The sequence below is a fragment of the Homo sapiens genome, chromosome 14, assembly GCF_000001405.40.
Source record: "Homo sapiens chromosome 14, GRCh38.p14 Primary Assembly".
Lineage (NCBI taxonomy): Eukaryota > Metazoa > Chordata > Mammalia > Primates > Hominidae > Homo > Homo sapiens.
Genome location: NC_000014.9, coordinates 84,409,539 through 84,430,375, shown reverse-complemented (window position 1 = coordinate 84,430,375; position 20,837 = coordinate 84,409,539). Strand labels below are relative to the sequence as shown.

Below are 20,837 nucleotides of genomic sequence, written 5' to 3'. Positions count from 1 at the left end.
GTACATGTAGAAAATGATCCTTATACAACATGATGGGGCAAATGGAGGCCATCTGGATGCATCTGTATGGGGCTTAGTGAAGAAATGCATTATTTTTATTTTACATAATTAAAAGGAAAATGAGATAAATCAATATGGGTATTACATTTCAAATTTTAATAAAATTTTCAATATGATATTTTCAAAAGTTTAAATAAGAAACTTGAGTTGGCAGTCCCACTGCTAGGTAGTTACCCAAGGTAAAAGAAATCAATATACCAAAAAGATACCTGCACTTGGATGCTTCTCACAGCACTATTCACAATAGCAAAGATACAGAATCAACCTAAGTGTCCAACATTGGTTGATTGGATTAAGAAAATGTGATTCACACCCACACACACAAACACACACACACAAAGAAATACTATTCAGCCATAAAAAGAAATGAAATAATGTATTTTCTGAAAACTTCAATGGAATTGGAGGTCATTATCTTCACTGAAACAGGTCAGACAAAGACAAATATTGCAGATTCTTATTCATAAGTAGGAACTAACAAATATGTACATATGGACATAGAAAGAGAAATAATAGACAACGGAGACTCAAGAGGGAGAGGAGTGGGAGGGGGATAGATAATGAGAAATTACTTAATGGGTACCATGTACGTTATTTAGGTGATAGATACCCTAAAAGCCCTTACTAGACCACTATGCAATCTATGCATGTAAGAAAGTTGCACCTGTGCCCTATAAATTTATAGAAGTTAAAAAAAAAAAACTTAAAAAAATGCTCACACCTGTAATCCCAGCACTTTCGGAGGCTGAGGCGGGTGGATCACGAGGTCAGGAGATCAAGACCATCCTGGCTAACATGGTGAAACCCTGTCTCTACTAAAAATAAAAAAAATTAGCCAAGCTTGGTGGCGGGCGCCTGTAGTCCCAGCTACTTGGGAGGCTGAGGCAGGAGAATGGCGTGAACCCAGGAGGGTGAGCTTGCAGTGAGCCGAGATCGCGCCACTGCACTCCAGCCTGGGCGACAGAGCGAGACTCTGTCTCACAAAAAAAAAAAAAGTAAAAAAAGAAACTTAATCTGGCCTCTGAAATGATTTATTTTTAGACTTTAACCTGAAAATGTAATCAAAATTTTCAAAAATTGGTTTCTCTAGTTGTTTGAATGTCTTAATAGGAAATTTTATTCACATGTATAGGTAGTAGCAAATGGCAAAAGATAACTTACTACCTTTTGTGCCAATTGAAATAAATATCTGTAAGTATTAACAAGATTTCAGAGTAGTCAAGCTCTAAATTGGATTCCAAATGTGAAATCACTGTTTAAATCTATCAGCTCTTTCTTTTACACTGCTGACAAATAAAATGTCAGTTTGTTATAGTAATGCAGATGGATTTTGAATTTAAACATTTTTATATTTTGTGCTTCATAATATTGATAAAATCTTTTAGTTTCAAGAACAATTATTCAATTATTCTGTATGATTCAAATTAAAAGGTTAACAATATCTGTGAACATTTTAAATCATACATTTCCATAATTAAATTTTTGATATAACACATAATTATATAATTTATGAAGTTTTTGCATTAAAATATGTTTATTCAAGGTGTTCCTAAATTTCACCAAAGTTAGCTGTTTTGGAAACCAATAATTATTCTTCAACAGTCTGCAAAATAATAATTATCCACAATAATAATTTCTCACTTTTTTCTATTTTTTGTTTTAGCTCATAAACTTTTAACATTTTTTTTGTGTGCAGCAAAAGCTCTTTGTATAAAAGAAAGTAATCTCATACTAGTTAGCATAGAGCTGAAAAAGTATCTTAAGTTGTTTAGAATCACCATTCTTTAATTTCATTTAATATGGAATGAAATTTATGAGCAAGACTATGATGCAAAAGGTTTTCTCAGTGAATTAAATAACAAATTATTTTTACCTTAGACTTTTCAGAATAAATATTAGTACAACCCATATAAGTAATTTTCCCAGTCAAGACACTTTTGTGAGTAAATGGGTATTATTAACAATTAAGGTATTGCAAGAGTTATAAACAAGAAGTGCCTTGGGTCAACTTAATACTAATTTACTAATATAAGTAACACTTGCTAATATTACTAATGTTAATTTACATAATCCTCATAGTAATCTGTGATGTGAGATGTATTGCTTTCTCCATGTAAAAAATTAGGGGCTAAGACAAAGAAGGTAGATCACACAACAAATTAATGATAGGAGCGAGTTCTTCTCTTGGCAATCTTGAGATGCATGTACATTAATAGGGGTCTTGGTAACTGGACTTTGCATATCCATACATATATGCATGTAACATGTGTGGTTATATGATCATTTTTTTACAGTCCTATCGTCTAAAAAATGTGTATTTCCACTTGGATATTTGTCCTATATAGTATGATATTTCTATGAAGATAAAATAGAATCTTCTTCTAAAATATTTATCTTCATGGATTCTAACTAGTGTAATCTTTTACTTCATTTTTTGAATCAATATTGCCATATGTCATTGAACATATCTGCAATGCATTATTCAAAATAGTATCTTTTCTATTCCTTTGCTTCATTGGTCTGCAACACCAGCCTGGGTATTAGTTTATGCAAGATAGTAGAATAGCCACTCTGTAGCAAGTGAGCATTTTGGATTTTGTAATTACTTATGTGAGCTTGTGACTAGCTACTTTAGTATGATCTCATACTGCTGGAACTAATCTCATGAGAGTTATTTCTTATTTTATACTTGCAGACACTTAAAAGGGTGAAAACTTCTTTTTTGTCCCATATAAATATTTTGTTTAGCAAGGTGTTAGGGTAGTTAACTTAGCAATATTGTTCATTTCAAAAATATTTCCAAAAAGAGTAAAAGGTTTAGGCTGAGATAGAGAATGATAGTAAACATGAATAATATATAATATAGTATATTGATAGTATAATCTTCATTATACTCTCTAATTCATAATAAACTTTTTGAGACTATTCTATACACTAGATGACTTTATAGCTTCAATCAAATTATTGCCCACTTTGGAGCTAAAATACAGATTTTTAATAATATTTAAAGTATCTATTACATGATAAAGGCAATTATTGACTTTTATGGTTTCAAAAGATTGATTTTTCAATTCAAGTGTTTGGCAGATGTCTTTCGTGCCTCACATTACATTCCTAGGGCACAATTTTGATTTTAGCCACAGCTGCAGGGGTGCAGGAGAGATTCCACTTGGAGCTCAAGCATACCTCACTCAGGCAAGGCGACACCTCAAACATACCGCCTTAGGGCTTTCTGCCTCAGGATCTTTTTCAAAACAAGGAAAACCGTTTAGATTCAAGACCACGTAAACTGGGAAAGCACAGGAAAGTACCATTGACATATTCCAGGGGCCACCTGCAACCAGTGGGGATTGGGGAGCAGAAGGTGATGCCTAGTCTCCCTCCTTTGGATAGGCAAGCTAAAAGGACTCTGGTGAAATGCTCCGGAGACCCTGAAAGAAACAGTCCATAGGGACAATTGAACTCCACCATTTTGTACAGGCTTGTCTCTTTCCCTGTCTTACTCTCTACACTCCCTCATACTTACCTCCTGAAATCACCTCCTCTGTAAACTACATGATCTCAAGTTCTTGTTTCTTTACTGTTTTTTTAAGAGTATCAAAGGAAAGCAATATATAGATAATTTTAAGAATATTTTAAATTAATTTGCACCGACAATTTTAAAGCATTAAGCATTGGGTAAACAAAATATAAAACTGAAATACTATTCTCCAATTAAATTTCTTGAAATTGTACAAAATAAAAATATGATTTATATGTACATATGACAAAGATCTTTTAATAATAAATGTCTAAATTCTGAAATATCCAAGTTCTCTTCATTGAAATATTTGATTCTATCTTCCAATCATTATTTCTGAATTAGCATTTGGTTAGTTTTTAACAACACTTGCAAAACAATTGATAAAGACAGATGTAAGAAAGAGAAGGCTAGAGGAAGAAAGAGGTAGGAAAGAATAAAGGAAAGAAGGTAAGGGAAGGACAGAGAGAGAGACGGAGGAAGGAAGGAGGGAAAGAGGGAGAGAGGGAGGGAGGGAAGGAAGGAAGGAAGGGAGGGAGGGAGGGAGGGAGGGAGGGAGGGATAGAGGACCATTCGGAAGATAATTACTATCTTATAGCACATGTGCAATGCACTCACAGATGAGAGCTGTGATGTAATTTGAGATGTTTTAGTTAAAAATAAGAACCATGCCCCAATCTCCACTATCTTTGTCTACTCCAATGAATATACTCAGTTTCCCAACCTTGTCTCAAATATCTTTTCACATTATTTTATGTATTAGAACTTCCTTCTCAAATTAAAATTTTATATCTATTTGTCTATGCATTATTCTTCTCTCTTCCTTCTCTCCTTTCTTCTTTCTTGTTTTTCATCTTTTAATATATTTACCTTTTCATGATAAAATTTTCCTCTTGCCAATTCAAACCTACTATGCATTTCAAACTCAAATTTAAAAATGATCTTCAAAACATCTTCACACACCAAAGTTGTAAACTAATTTGAAACTGTTTCGTATTATGTATTAATCATGGTAAACAGTAATTATAATAGATACATGAAATTAAGTGGTTACCATATTCCAACTTTTGTGCTAATTGCATTATATAGACATTATGTAATTGTTCCTTTGAAAATACTAGAGAGAGGTAATATTACTTTGCTATTTCAGAATGTTATGTATGCTCTTCTAGTCCACACAGCTAGAAAGTGGCAGACTAGCATTTGCATCCAGTTTCCCTAACACTAATACTCATCCATACTTATATTTCTATGGGGGTGGGTACATGGTCAATGCTAAGTCTGAAGTTTATATTAGTATAATTTGGTACATAGAAAACATTATATGTTATCTATATGTGAATTTGATGCCCAAAATTAAGAATACAAATTTGTGAAATCAATGCCAAATTGAAAAGAAGATTTTTTAAAACAAAAATTCGAATTCTATACTATCTGTTTGCATTCCTCCTCACTTCCTCTATCGGACACTAAGTCCACCATATTATTTAATTCTGCATTGAGCTTTATAAAAATTGAATCAAATTGTAGTTAATCTTTTATAACTTTTTTCTATTCAACCCTATTTCAAAAAATGCTATACATGTTTTTATCTATAGACTAATTTATTTACATCACTTTGAAATAGTCAATTTAATGAATATGCTATAATTTATTGATCAACATTATTCTGATGGCTAGTTGTTTCTCTACAGTTTTATTTTTTCCCCTAACTAAAATAATGCTGTTAAAAATACCATGTGTCCTGATATTTTTGGGTGATTTTTCTCTATTGGAAAGCATAATTCCTGTATATATACACGTTCAAGTTTTCTTGCTAAATTTCATTTTTTACTAATACCATCAGTAGTTTATGAGTTTGTATTGCACTCTATTGCTAAAACATTTAGTATTGTCGGACTTTAATTTTTGCTAACCTGGATGGTTGAAAATGGGATCTTATTAATTGATTATATCTAAAAAATTGACAAGCTTTTTATGTGATAATATTTAGTATTTTTCTGCAAAATATCTGTTCTTATATTGGCTCACTTTTCTATAGAATTGTCATTTTTATTATTGCTATGTTTAAGACATTTATTCTGAATACTAGTCTTTGATGATAAATTCAAACTTAGTGAAACTAATCAATATTTTGTCTAAGTTCAGTTCATCCCTTAGCTTTAATTCATATATTTTCTTATGTTTTCTTCTAGAATTCTAAACTTGGCTTTTTATACCTATGCCTAAAAATTTTGTGTATGATATGAATTATTATTCTGGTTACATATTTTAATATACTGATTTAATTTGCCCATAAATTTATATTAAATAATGTATTTCTTTTCAGTGATCTACAGTGCCACTCCTTTCATGTCTCAAGTTTTGATATTGTGTTTGGTTCTACTTCCAGACTCCCTACTCTATGTATTGAACAACTTATTTATCCCTGAGCCAATAACATGCCTTTTAAAATTTAAATTTTTAAAAAACGTTTGTAATATGAAATATAATAAGTCAAAGTCTCTTAATAGTTAATCCTTATTAACTAATCCTTAATTATAAGGTTCACTAACAAGTCTTTGCTATTCTTAGTCCTTTACTCTTCCATATAAAATTGAGCATTGGCTAACTAATCTTGTTGGTTTCTTATTGGAATTACACTGACTCCATAGACCAATAGGCAAGCATTAGAATCTTTATCATGTTGAATTTTGTATTCATGAAAATGGTATAGATATGACTCTATTAATTCAGGCATTCTTTAATACATTTAAGTAAAGTTTTATAATTTTTATACAATATTTAGTTATTATATTACATTTATTTCTAATATTTTGTGGTGCTTTGGTAAATGATCCAAATGTTTTTAATTACATCTTTTTAAAATTACAAGATGTAATTTTAATTAAATCTATTTTTTGTTCAAATGTAGAAATGCCATTGGATTTTATTGCTTCTGGATTGTGATTTTTGTCTATCTTGCTAAATTCTATTATTACTTCTAGAAATTTGTTTATAGACTTTTGGTACTTTTCTATGAAGAAAAATAATATAATTTGCAAATACTATGTATTTTTGGACAGAACACTATCCTATTTTCTCATTGCATAAAGGGTGTATACAATTATTCATCTGCTTTTAAGCATTAAGTATTTTAAGTATTTTTCTTATCTTCTAAGAAGGATAGTAAGTTCATTGGAAACACATATCATATCTTCAATTATTTTTATATCAGATTATCAATGCATATAGAAAAACACTTTGTATGTAGCAGAAGAAAAATGGTATAAAGATGTAATAGATTCCTTTACCAGCAAATTAAAGTTTCCAATATTTACCTTAGAATTCGATGTTCTCAATGATTTAACTTCAACCTACTTTTTACTTACTATGGATTCTTTCTCCGTTTATTATCATATTTAACCTCAAATTAATTGTCGCTTTATGATTTCAACATTTCAACACTCCTGATTTGAAGGTTTAACATTCATTAATTCTCTCTCTACTTAAATTACTTCCCTGGAAATCGGATAAACTTAATTATCTTTCTAATCATCCAAATAATATAAACCTATTTAAAGTAGCTGGCAGCAATATCTCAATTGGAGTTCATATTGATGATTTGATACAGAGGTATAACTGGCATCTGAAGATTTCTAAAAAATTTGATACAATTACATATTTGAAGTAATTAGCTAGATATTAGTAAAGTAAATACCAACTACAGTTTACAAAAACACAATAACAACATGACCATCTTTTTCCTGATGCTTTAAATTTTGCAAAATTTAGGAAACAGTCTTTGTGTATCATAGCTTTGATAATTTTCAGATCTTTACTTTCATATTATTTCAATTCATGATTGTGGTTTGATTTACTTAAAATATACTTACTGAATATGCTACTTTTATGATTATGTAAAGATACAGGTAAGTGTTTCATACCTTTAAAAATACACTTTTTGATTGTAATATAAACCATAATTGAGACACAGCCATTTAAAGGTTAATTATTTAATACTAACAAAATGCTAAAAAAAAGCAATGTTATTCAGTGTGAAAGGTGTACTGCTACTGATTCATTGTAACTCACGCTTGAGATTATCCCACATTTCTGAGAACACATGTTATTTTCTTAAAAATGTCTTCTTCATTGTAAATATTTAATTATGTTTTATTTCCAGTGTTAATTTGAGAGTGCCATCAGGCAAATATGCAGAAAAGAAGCATGGAAGTGTTCACTACTAAAGTTATTGAAAACTTAATAAAAAACAACATTTTTAAGACACTTCTTGCACTTGAAAATTTTGTCTGTATGCTGAAACCCTAACTTATCATTACTAATAAGTAAATTAATGAAACAAAGAAATAATTATGAATAATACAGTTATAAACAAAGCCAAAGTAATAATATTTAAACATAGTGAAGAAAGTTGTGAATTTAAAGTAACTTAAAAGTAATGAAAAGTCACATGAATTAATTAGTATTTGAAGGCTCAGATGACCATAAGAAATAAAGATTGCATAAAAGAAGAAATGTCTAGAAACTTCAATTTCCAAACATAGAAACTTAAATCCACAAACATCTAAACTTTGGTCTATTTATTTCTCAGAATTCATTCTATTTGTGTTAGTCTCATGAGGAAAGACAAGGACAAAATATAAAATTTGAGGGAGAAGAATCAATCTTGTGGAGTTCCTACAATGCAACTTGCATATAAAGTATGGAGATATTATCATTAAAGGGGGAGATATAAGAACTAGGTCTTATCAGATTTACAATTTAATCAAGCAATAGTCCAATACAGAAATTGAGACAGAAAAAAATAATATGTAGACCTTTGTCAAGTGTTCCAGGGAACTAGTTATTTAGAGTGCTAGAAATGCATACAAACATTTCAGTGTTTACATAGGGATATCATTTGCCCTTTTGTCTAATAATGAAAAGGTTAAAGTTCAATGTGCCAAGCATAGCAACAAAAGGTAGTGATTATATCAGTAGTGATTATGCAGAATGGCATCTTGAGTAAGAGAGACAGATTAAAGTATTAGGCAACTATTGGGTAAATGAGGAGAGTACAGAATGAGACTGAAAAAAATAAGTAAAAGAAGGACAAATGTCTCAACTTTAAATTTTAGTGGTATACATTTCTGTTTTAATTTGCACAGACTCTCTAATTTATTCAGTAGGATGTAAACACACATATACACAGTTTTAAAAATCCTCATAGGATTTAGTGGTGATTGACAGGTCATGTGACTTTAGTCATATAACCACATAGTCCAGGAAAAAAAGGAGCCCTTTAGAAAAAAAAAATCAGTTTAGAATGACTTTCAAATTGACCATTCCTTTGCCATGTACATAAATTCAAATAACAAATACATTCAGAGGCCAAAATGTTGGCAGAGAATAAAATCATGTTCATTTTTTTTCTGCATCTTAGAATTAGAAGGCATAAAATTAAATATGTTGAATGTAATAAATTCATCCATACAAGTTCAAGTCTCCAAGTACATTCTGTACCTGCCATACAGGCTCATTTTCATGCAAATTCTTTCTAGAGCCAAATAAAGACTTAGGTGAAAAAAAAGAAGTAGATAGATCAACATCTTGAAAAAGAAATGGGGAAAAAATGGTGTTAGAAGGGTAAAAAGTTCAAGCTCTTAGAGAATTCCAAGTTCCTGGTTTCTATTACATATTTTATTATTATAATTTTTTCTTTGCGTGTCTGTATTTGGACCCCTCATAACCTCAAGAATCAGAAGGAAAAAGAAAAAGATGTGATCTGTAGTCAGATGGGAACATCTCCCCCCACCTCACATATACACCCCAAATCTAATAATGCTTCATAAAAATATCAGTTTTCAAATTAAAACAGAATAATTTTTATGGTCAAAAAGGACAAGTCTACTTCAGCATATTTTCTATTAAATAATTTTAAGTTACATGAGAAAAATCATGGAAACCCTCCAACTCTTCTTGTCACTATCTTGTGGCTTTCTGTTCTTTCTTTGATCTATAATGGAAATTTGGCAATGTTTACTGAAGACACTGACACTAAGAAAAACAATACCGTGTTACCAAATGCTGCCTCTGTTGCTGCCTATATGATATCTGAAGGTCTTTATTTATATTTCTCTTTTTTTGCAGTAACTTTTACATTTTCAATTTTTAGCTGTTTATCATTTGTTGTTAATTTTAACTTTTTTAACAGGATAATTATGGTTCCTGAACACCATAACCATTTCCATCATAATTTAGATTAGGAATCTGGATTAAAAGTATCAGAATTCACTTGTCCAAGGAACTGAAATGCCTTTGTCGGTCAACAAAAAGGTACTTAGAAGTTCATAGGGTTATGCCAAGTACTTGTGTTAGTACAGACAGTAAGACACATTCTTCTGTTATTAGAAATCAGCCTATAAAAATGTTCCCACATTTATCACAGAAGAAACCCTCTAGGGTCAGTTGAAAGCGGTAAGAAAGTTTTCAAGGATGGATTTTATCATATAGATTCTAGCATTTACTGTTGGAGAAAACATTCCACAGTGAATTCTTCCATTCAGTTTTCCACTTCTTGTTCCAAAATAAACTTATGATGAGAAACATATACACACACACAAATGAAAAGTAATCATTCAAAGGGGTTATCTGAGTTTCCTCTAAACTTAATGAAATTTTTTGGTAAAAATTAAAAAGTTCATAATCATATCTAAAATGGACATTTGCCACTAAATATGCATTACATTTCAAGGAAGCAAGTACATTTATATAAGCAGCTGTTATTTTTAATAAGAATAATCCAAACATTCAGTGGAGGACTAGATGCACCGAGTAAGATATTGAGTGAAGTAGTAGGGCAACATTCATTTAAAAATAAATGCCATGCTATACTTTATTTAGTAAGGAGCATGAGAAAAATAATGAAATCACAAATATATTTAAGACATTTTGTTTATATGACTGTATAGAATCACATACAAGTTATTCATGTATCAAAATTACCAAAACAAAGGAATTCAGATAATGTTAAAAATAATGTTGTTAAAGATGAATATAGATTCAAGACAAAACAGTAACAAAGAAAATGCATGGCTACACATATAATTTGTGTTTAGGTGAAAGATTTAAGAGAAGATTGTAAATTTTTGTCACACAAGTGTGAACTAGGGTGACATCAGCAAAATGGCTGACTAATGATGTCTGGTGCTTGTCCCCCCATTATTGCTAAAAAGAACCAAAACAATGAATAAACAACTCTATTTTGAACACAGTGTCTGAGGTGGGGGGCAGCAGAGGGCTAGTTGAGACACTGTGTAACATGAAGACACAGGATGACAACATAGACAATGGAGAGAGGCACCCTGAAGATGCCACCCGATCTCCCTAGTCAAGATCAGCTTAGAACCTGAAGGGACCTTCCTGTGCAAGGAGAAAGTAGCAGGAGGCCCCCAGCAGCCCCAATTAATGCCATGACGCCTACAGTTTTTGCTCTTGAGGAATCTGCGATTCTCACCGGCACGAGCACAGTCTGGGGAGATGTTAGGGAGTTTACATAGCTGCCCTGCTCCAGAGGAGGAGCTCTTATTGTGCCCCCAATGAGCCAAACTGATGCTATAAGGCGCCACCTCTGTCTTCTCTATCCAGGTGTTGTAGAACCTCAATGCTGGATACCTGAAATGTAGGTCCAGCAGAACAGCTATGGCCTCAGAGCTCTACCCCCAGGGGAGCAACACGTGAGCCAAGCCACTATCTGACCTGCCCCATTCTTCTCCTGAGTGCAGACTAGCCCAACCCCTGAGAGTAATGTCTGAGCAGAGACACAAGACAGACAACCCCAGCCTCCCTGGATGAAGACTAGCCTGGCACTTTGCTCACAGAGTAGCAGTCCCCAAGTTGAGCTGAAGATTGATGAGCCCCGTGCTTCCCTGGAGTGCAAACTAGCCCAGCACACCACCTTCACAGTAGCAGTGCTAGTGGCCAGTAAGTCCCATAATGCTTCTGAGTGCAGACCAGCCAGGGCCTTGCTCCTATGGGAGCACCAACCAAGCTGAGGCACCAGCTCACCAGACCCTCACTTCCCCAGAGTGTGAACCAGCCTCTGAACCAGTGTCTGAGCCGAGCCTCAGGCCAACCATCTCTAGGCTTCTTCCCCAGAGAGCAATCTAGCCATGCACTCCATAACCATAGAACACAGCCAGAGCAAGTTTGCTAGCCAATCAGCTCTGTGCTTCCCTGGAGCAGGGTTCAGCCTGGTGTCTTGCTCCCAAGGGGAGCAGAGCTCAAGTAGGTGGACCAGTGACACAAATCTCTGCAGTATAAGCCACTGAGGCACTTGCAGGAATTGCTGGCTTGGTAATAACTGAAGAAACTGCAGAGACTACACCATTGCACACACCCAGAACAAAACCAACACACACAAACCAGCTGACATCATAAGACACGTCTGCAGGCGAAAACCTTTCCCTATGAAAACCACTCTACAAAATTGGAAGAGGTGAATGGTTCACCAGATGAATAGGTGAACAGGATGAACAGGTTCACCAGATGAATAGGGATACAGGAAACATAAAGAAGCAAGATAAGATACCACCACCAAATGAATGATACTTCTATGGTAACTGATCCCAAAGAAATAAAAATTTTGTAATTGCCTAAAAAGAAACTCAAAATAATAATCTTAAGGAAATTCGGTAAAATAAAAAAAATACAGATAGGCAATTCAACAAAATCAGAAAATTAATTCATGATCTTAATGAGAAATTCAACAAACAGATAGATATCATATAAAATACCAAACAGAAATCTTGGTGCTAAATAATTCAATGAATGAAATGTAAAAGACAATCAAGAGTATAAACAATAGATTAGATATAACAGAAGAAATAATCTCTGAATTTGAAGACCGGACTTTTAAAGTAATCCAACCCGCACTCCCCCCAAAAAAAGTTGTAAGATTTTTAAGAATGAAGAAAACTTATAGGACTTACGGAATGTCATTAAGTGAATATATTTTAACATTATGGGAATTTAAGAAGGAGAAGAGATGAAATAAAGCAAAAAAAAAAAAAAAAAAAAAAAACACCTATTTACTGAAATAATATCTGTAAACGTCCCAAGTATTAGTAGTGCTATGGACATCCAGATCCAGGAAACTTAAAAGTTCCAAACAGTTTCATTTCAAAAGGATCCCCACTGAGGCACATTATAGGCAGACTACCACAAGTCAAAAACAAAGAATTTTTGAAAATATCAAGAGAAAAGTGTCAAGTCACATATAAGGGGATCTTTAGTAGATTAAAGCAGATTTTTCAGCATAAACCTTACAAGATAGGAAAGAATAAGTGATATTATTAAAGTGGAAAAGAAAAAAAAACCTGCCAGTTAAGCATACCATACCCAGCAAAGCTATTCTTCAGAAATGAAAGGAAATAGTCTTTCCAAGGCAAGCAAAACCTGAAGAAGTCTATCATACTAGACCGGCCATACAGGAAATGCTTGATGAGGTCCTACATCTGAAAGCAAAATGAGAAAACTACCACCACCACGAAAACACACAAAAGAATAAAACTCACTGATAGAGCAGATACACAAATGAGAAAGACAAATAAATCAATATCTATCACTATAGAAAAACACCAAACCACAAAGATAAACAGAAGAAGGAAGAAACAGTGTATATACGAAACAACCAGAGAACAACTAGCAAAATGACAGGAGTTAAGTCCTTAACTATCAATAATAGCCTTGAATGTAAATAGATTAAATTCCTCCATTTAAAAAAATATAAGCTGATTGAATGAATAAAAAAACAGTACCCAACCACATGCTACCTATAAGAAACTCACTTCACCTGTAAAGACACATAGAGACTGAAAGTGAAGAGATAAAAAAAAAATTCCATGCAAATAAAAACCACAACCACAAAAAAGCAGGAGGAGCTATACTTACACCAGATAAAATAAACTTTAAGTCAAAAAACTGTAAACAGAGGGACAAAGGAGGTCACTATATGATGATAAAAGGATACACTCAAATAGAGAAAAAAACTGTAAATATATATGCACCCAACACCAGAGCAACAGATATATAAAACAAGTATTTGATTAAAAATGAGAAATAGACTCCAATAAAATAGTAGATGGGGACTTGAACATGTCAGTCTCAGCAATGGATAGATCATCTAGATAAACAATTAACAAAGAAACATTAGACTTAAACTGTACTGTAGACCAAATGGACCTAACAGACACAGAACACTTCATCCAACAATGTCAGAATGCACATTCTTCTTACTAGCACATGAAAGAGTACCTAGGAAAGACCATATTCTAGGCTCCAAAACAAACTTCAACAAATGTTTTAAAATTTGAAATCATATCAAGTTTCTTTTCTGATCATAGTGGAATAAAACAAAAAATCAATATCAAGGGAAACTTTGGAAACTGTAAATATGGAAATTAAACAACATGCTCCTGAATGAGCACTGGTCAAGAAAGAAATAAAAAAAAATAACAATCGTGAAACAAAAGGAAATAAAAATATAACATACAAAACTTATGAGATACAAGAAAAGCAGGACTAATAAGAAAGTTTCTAACAGTAAATACTTACATCAAAAGAGTAGAAAGATGAACTACCTAGTGATGAACTTCAAGGGACTAGAAAAGCAGGAAAAAAAGCCAAAATTAATACAAGGAAATAATAATTATCAGAACAGAAATTAACAATATGAAAACTAAAAAGTATTACAAATTATCAATAAAACAAAAAGTTGTTTCATGAAAAGAAAAAATTGAAGAATCATTATCTAGATGAACTAAGAAAAGAAGACACGAAATCTGTAATGAAAAAGCAGACAGGACAATTGATAACACAGAAATACAAAAGATCATTAGAGACGATTATGAACAACTATACACAAACAAACTGAAAAACCTAGAAGAAATGGATAAATTTTTGGACATGTGCAACCTATCGAGATGAACAAGGAAGAAATAAAACACCTTAACTGACCAAAATGAGTAATGGGATTGAATTGGTAAGAAAAAGTCTCTCAAGATACAGGACTGATGCCTTCACTGGTGAATTCTACCAAACTTTTAAAGCAGAACTAACAGCAATCCTTCTCAAAGTATTTCAAAAAACTTAAGGGAAGGAAATTTTTTCAAGCTGATACCAAAACCAGGCAAGGATAAAACAAAACAAAACTGCAGGCCAGTCTCCCTGATGATCATACATGCAAAAATCTTCAACAAGATACTATCAAACCAAATTCAACAACATGTTAAAAATATTATATAACATGATTAAGTGAAAGTTCTTGAAATGCAAGAATAATTCAACATACATAAATCAATAAATGTGATCTCACATCAACAGAATTAAGAACAAAAAATGTGTCATTATCTTAATAGATGCAGGAAAATAATTTGATAAAATTCAACATTCCTTCATGATAAAAATCTCTCAGTAATTTGGGTATTGAAAAAAAGTACCTAAACATAATAAAACCATATGAAAAATCCATATGCAATATCATAATAAATGAGAAAAAGTTGAAAGTTTTCCAAGAACTGGAACAAGAAAAGGGTGCCCATTTTTACCACTCTTCAATGCAGTGCTGGAAGTCCTAGCCAGAACAATCAGACGAAAGTGAACAGAGGCATCCAGATTGCAAAGAAAAAAGTCAAATTACCCATGTTTGCAGACAACATAATCATATATAGAGTAAAAGCTAAAGATTACCAAAAACTCTTAGAACTGATAAATAAATTCAGGAAAGTTGCAGGAGACAAAATCAACGTAAAAAATCAGTAGTGTTTCCATATACCAATAACAAACTAGCTAAAAATGATATAAAAATATAAGTCCATTTACAATAGCTCTCCTAAAATTAAAATACCTAGAAATAACTTTAACTAAGGAGGTAAAAGACCTTTACAATGAAAACTATAAAACACAGATAAAAGAAATTGAAAATAACACATACATAAAAATAGAAAGACACCTCATGTTCATAGATAGCAATAATAAATACTGTTTAAATAATCATTCTATCCAAAGTGATTTATAGATTCAATGAAATGTCTATAAAATGTTAACGACATTCTTCACAGAATTTTTTTAAATTAACATTTGCATGGAATTACAAAAGACCCTAAATAGCTGAAGCAATCCTCAGCAAAAAGAATAATTCAAGATGCATCACACTACCTGACTTCAAAATATACAATATAGCTATAGTAATGACAATAGCATGATATTTGCATAAAGACAGGCATATAGATCACTGGAATTGAATAGAGAAATCAAGAAATAAATCCACATATTAATGGCCAACTGATTTTTGATAAAGGTGCCAAATACATTCATTGGGGAAAAGACAATTTCTTGAATAAATAGTGCTGGGGAAACTAGATTTACATATAGAAAAAATAAAACTAGGCCACTATCTCTCAGCATATATTCAAAAAATGCAAAATGGATTAATGACTTTAATTTTAGACCAGATATGCCAAAACTACTGGAAGAAAACACACAAGAAATGATTTAGGACCTTAAGCTAGGCATAGATTTTACAGTTAAGATGTCAAAACACAGGCAACCAAAACAAAAACAGACAAATGGGATTATATCAAACTAAAAAATTTCTGCACAGCAAAGGAAACAATCAACAGAGTGAAGAGGCAACATGAGGAATGGGAGGAAATATTTGCAAATATTCATTTGATAAGGGACTCAAATTCAGAATACACAAGGAACTCAAACAACCCAATAACAAAAAACAAATAATCCAATTGAAAAATAGGCACACGATCTAAATAGACATTTCTCACAAGATGACACACAAATTGTCAACTAGTATAAGAAAGAAATGCTCAACATAACTAATTATCAGAGAAATGCAAATCACTACAATGAGGTATCATCTTGCCCCAATTAGAACAATTAGTATCAAAAATACAAAAATTAACAAATGTTTTTGAGGATGTGGAGAAAAGGAATCTCTTGTATACTTTCAGTGGAAATGTAAATTACTATCACCATTAGAAAAACAGTACAAAGTTTCTTCAAAAAGCTAAAAATAGAACTATCATGAGATCTAGCAATATCACTCCTGGGAATTTATTCAAAGAAAAGAAAACCACCATGTCAAAGAGATATCTGCACTTCCATCACTATTGCAGCACTACTCACAGTAACCAAGAAACAGAATTAACCCAAGTGTCCATCAGCAGGTGAATGGATTTAAAAAATGTGGTAGACATATAAAATGGAATATTATTTAGCCATTAAAAAAATAAGAACCTGTGTTATGCAGCAACATGGATGAGCCTTGAGGACATTTTCGAAGTGGAATGAGCCAGGAACAGAAGCAGAAATACCATTTGACCCAGCAATCCCATTACTGAGTGTATATCCAAAGGATTACAAAGCATTCTACTATAAAGACACATGCAAAAATATGTTTATTGCAGCACTATTCACAATAGCAAAGACTTGGAAACAACCCAAATTGACTATCAATGATAGACTGGATAAAGAAAATGTGGCACATATACACCATGGAATACTATGCAGCCATAAAAATGGATGAGTTAATGTCCTTTGCAGGAACATGGATGAAGCTTGGAATCATCATTCTCAGCAAACTAACACAGGAACAGAAAACCCAACACCGCATTTTCTCACTCATAAGTGGGAGTTGAAAAATGAGAACACATGGACACAGGGAGGGGAATATCACATACTGGGGCCTGCCGGGGGTTGGGGGACTAGGGGAGGGATAGCATTAGGAGAAATGCCTAATGTAGATGATGGGTTGATGGGTGCAGCAAACCACCATGGCACGTGTATACCTATGTAACAAATCTGCACGTTCTGCACACGTATCTTAGAACTTAAAGTATAATAAATAAATACATAAATAACCAACAACAACAACAACAAAAAAAGAGATAAATACCACACGTTCTCACTCATAAGTGGAATCTAACAAGATTGATCTCATAGAAGGAGAGAGTGGAATAGTGAAGCTGGGAAGGGTAGAAGGAAGAAGAGATATAGAGAGATTGGTTAGGCAGGTTGACAGGCAGAATAAGTTGTAGCGATTGAAGTAAATATAAAAAAGAACAACAATTTTTTGTATTTTTTCAAATAGGTGAAAGAGAGGGATTTGAATGTTCTCAACAGAAAGAAATAATAAAGGTTTGAAGTAACAGATATGCTAATTACCCTGTTTCAATATTTACATATTGTATACATGTTTTGATATATCACACTGTACCCTGTAAATATTTACAATTACAGGCATACCTTCCGCATATTGTGGATTCAGTTTCAGACTACCAAAATAAAGTGACTATTACAATAAAGTAAGTCTCACTTTTTTTTTGTTTCCCACTGCATATACAAGTTTATTTACCCTATATGACAGTTTACTAAGTGTGCAATAAGATTATGTCCTTTAAAAGATGTATATTATTTACTTTAAAAATACTTTATTTTTAAAAAATGCTGAAGATCATCTGAGCCTTCATCAAGCAGCAATCTTTTTGCTATTGGAGGCTCTTGTTTCGATGTTGACACTTGCTGGCTGACCATGGCGGTGGTTGCTGAAGAATGAGGCCTCTGTGGAAATTCTTTAAAATAAGACAGCAATTAAAGTTTTCACATTGATTGACTCTTCTTTTCAAGAAAGATTTCCCTGTAGTATGTGAAGCTGTTTGATAGCATTAGAACTTCTTTAAAAAATAGTTATCACAAACCCTGCTGTTGCTTTATAAACTAAGTTTATTTAATATTCTAAATTTGTTGTTGTCATTTCAGCCATGTTCACTGCATCTTCACCGGGAGTAGATTTTATCTCAAGAAACACTTTTTTTGCTCATCCATAAGAAGCAACTCCTCATATGTTCAACTTTTATCATGAGATTGCATCAATTCAGTCACATCCTCAAACTCCACTCTAATTCTACTTCTTTTGCTATTTCCACTACATCTTCAGTTATTTCCTCCACTAAAGTTTTGAACCCCTCAAAGTCATGCCAAAAAGTTGTTATCAACTTCTTCCAAACTCCTGTTAAAGTTGATATTTTGACCTCCTCCCATAAATAATAAACTTTTTTTCTTTTTTTTGAGATGGAGTCTCATTCTGTTACCCAGGCTGGTGTGCAGTGGCATGATCTTGGCTCACTGCAACCTCAGCCTCCTGGGTTCAAGCAATTCTCCCTGCCTTAGCCTCTGGAGTAGCTGGGATTACAGGCATGTGTCAACACACCCAGCTAATTTTTGTATTTTTTAGTAGAGACGGGGTTTCACCATGTTTGCCAGGCTGGTCTTCAACTCCCGACCTCCTGTGATCCACCCACCTCGATCTCCCAGACTGCTGGGGTTACAGGCATGAGCCACCATTCCTGGCCAATCATGAAACTTTTTAATGGCATCTAGAAAGGTGAATCCTTTCCAGAAGATTTGCAATCTGCTTCACCCAGATGCATCGAATGAATCACCATCTATGGCAGCTATAGCCATGCAAAATGTATTTCTTCTATAATAAGATATGAAAGTCAAAATTACTCTTTGATCTATGAGCTATAGAATAAATGCTGTGTTACCAGGTATGAAAATAATGTTAATCTTTTTTTTACAATGCCAGCAGAGTTTGGGGTTGCCAGATATTATCAATGAATAGAAATATTTTGATATAAATCTCTTTCTGAGCAGTAGGTCTTAACAGTGGGCTTAAAATATTCAGCAACCCATGTTACAGGCAGAGTAGATTTAGCATAATTATTAAGGACCTTAGGATTTTCAGAACGGCAATGGCAAATGAGCAGTAGATTCAACTTAAAGTCACCAGCTGTATTAACTCCTAACAAGAGAGTCAACCTGTCCTTTGTAGCTTTGAAGCCAGTTGTGACTTCTGTTAAGCTATGAAAGTCCTAGATAGCATCTTCTTCTAATAGAAGGCTGTTTTATCCATGTTAAAATCCATTTTTTAGTGTAGCCACCTTCACCAATTATCTTAGCTAGATCTTCTGGGTAACTTCTTATAGCTTTTACATCAGCACTTGCAGCTTCACCTTGCTCTTTCATGTTATGAAGACTGCTTCTTTCCTTAAAACTCATAAACCAGCCTCTGCTAACTTCACATTTTTCTTCTGCAGCAACCTCACCTCCCTCGGGCTTCAAAGAATTGAAGAGAGTTAGAACCTTGCCCTAGATTAAGTTTGGCTTAATGAATGTTGTGGCTGGTTTGATCTTCTATGCAGACCAGCCACAACAAACTTTCTTATCATTTGTGTTTCGCTTTTTTATCATTTGTGTATTTACCGATGTGCCACTTCTAACTTTATTCAAGAACATTTTCTTTGTACTTATAACTTGGCAAACTGTTTGGTACAAGAAGCCTAGTTTTTGGCCTGTCTTAGCTTTTGACATGCCTTCCTCAGTAAGCTTAATCTTTTCTAGCTTGTGATTTAAAGTGAAAGATATGCGACTGTCTTTTTCACTTGAACACTTATCAGACATTGTCACATTATTAAATTGCCTAATTTGAATATTGTTATGTCTTAGAATATAGAGAGGCCCAAGAACTGGAAGAGAGATAGAGGAAATGCTGGTTGGTGGAGAAGTTAGAACACATACATTTATTAAGTTTGCCATCAAATATTGGTATAGTTGCTGGTGCACCAAAACAATTACAATAGCGTATTAGTCCATTTTCACAATGCTATAAGGACATACCCAAGACTGGGTAATTTATAAGGGCAAGAGGTATAGTTGATTCACAGTTCCACAGGGCTTAGGAGGCCTCAGGAAACATAATCATGGTGAAAAGGGAAACAAACACATACTTCATCACATGGCAGGCACAAGGAGAAGTGCAGAGCAAAGGTGTGGAAAACCTCTTATAAAACCATCAAATGTCATGAGAACTCACACTCATTATCATGAGAACAGTGTGGAGATAACCATCCCCATTATTCAATTACCTCCCACCGGGTTCCTTCTGTGACATGAGGGGATTACAGGAACTACAGTTCAAGATGAGATCTGGGTGGGGACAGAGCCAAACTATATCAAATAGTAACATCAAAGATTACCAGTCACAAATTATCATAGTTCGAAATATTTCAAGAATTGCCAAAATGTGACTCAGAATCATGAAATGAGCACACTCTGTTAAAGACATAGCACCAAGAGACTTGCTCAATTCAGGGTTGCCACAAACCTGTAATGTGTAAAAAATGTCTCATCTATTAAGTAA

At 33.2% G+C, this 20,837-nt stretch overlaps 1 annotated feature.

Moving 5' to 3' along the window:
* Positions 20,327 to 20,837: an enhancer, noted in NCBI's record as "NANOG hESC enhancer chr14:84875883-84876393 (GRCh37/hg19 assembly coordinates)". NCBI's record gives its function as "activates a minimal SCP1, AML or CMV promoter by ChIP-STARR-seq in primed H9 embryonic stem cells {active_cell/tissue: H9 hESC(primed)}" and the evidence as "EXISTENCE:reporter gene assay evidence [ECO:0000049][PMID:30033119]".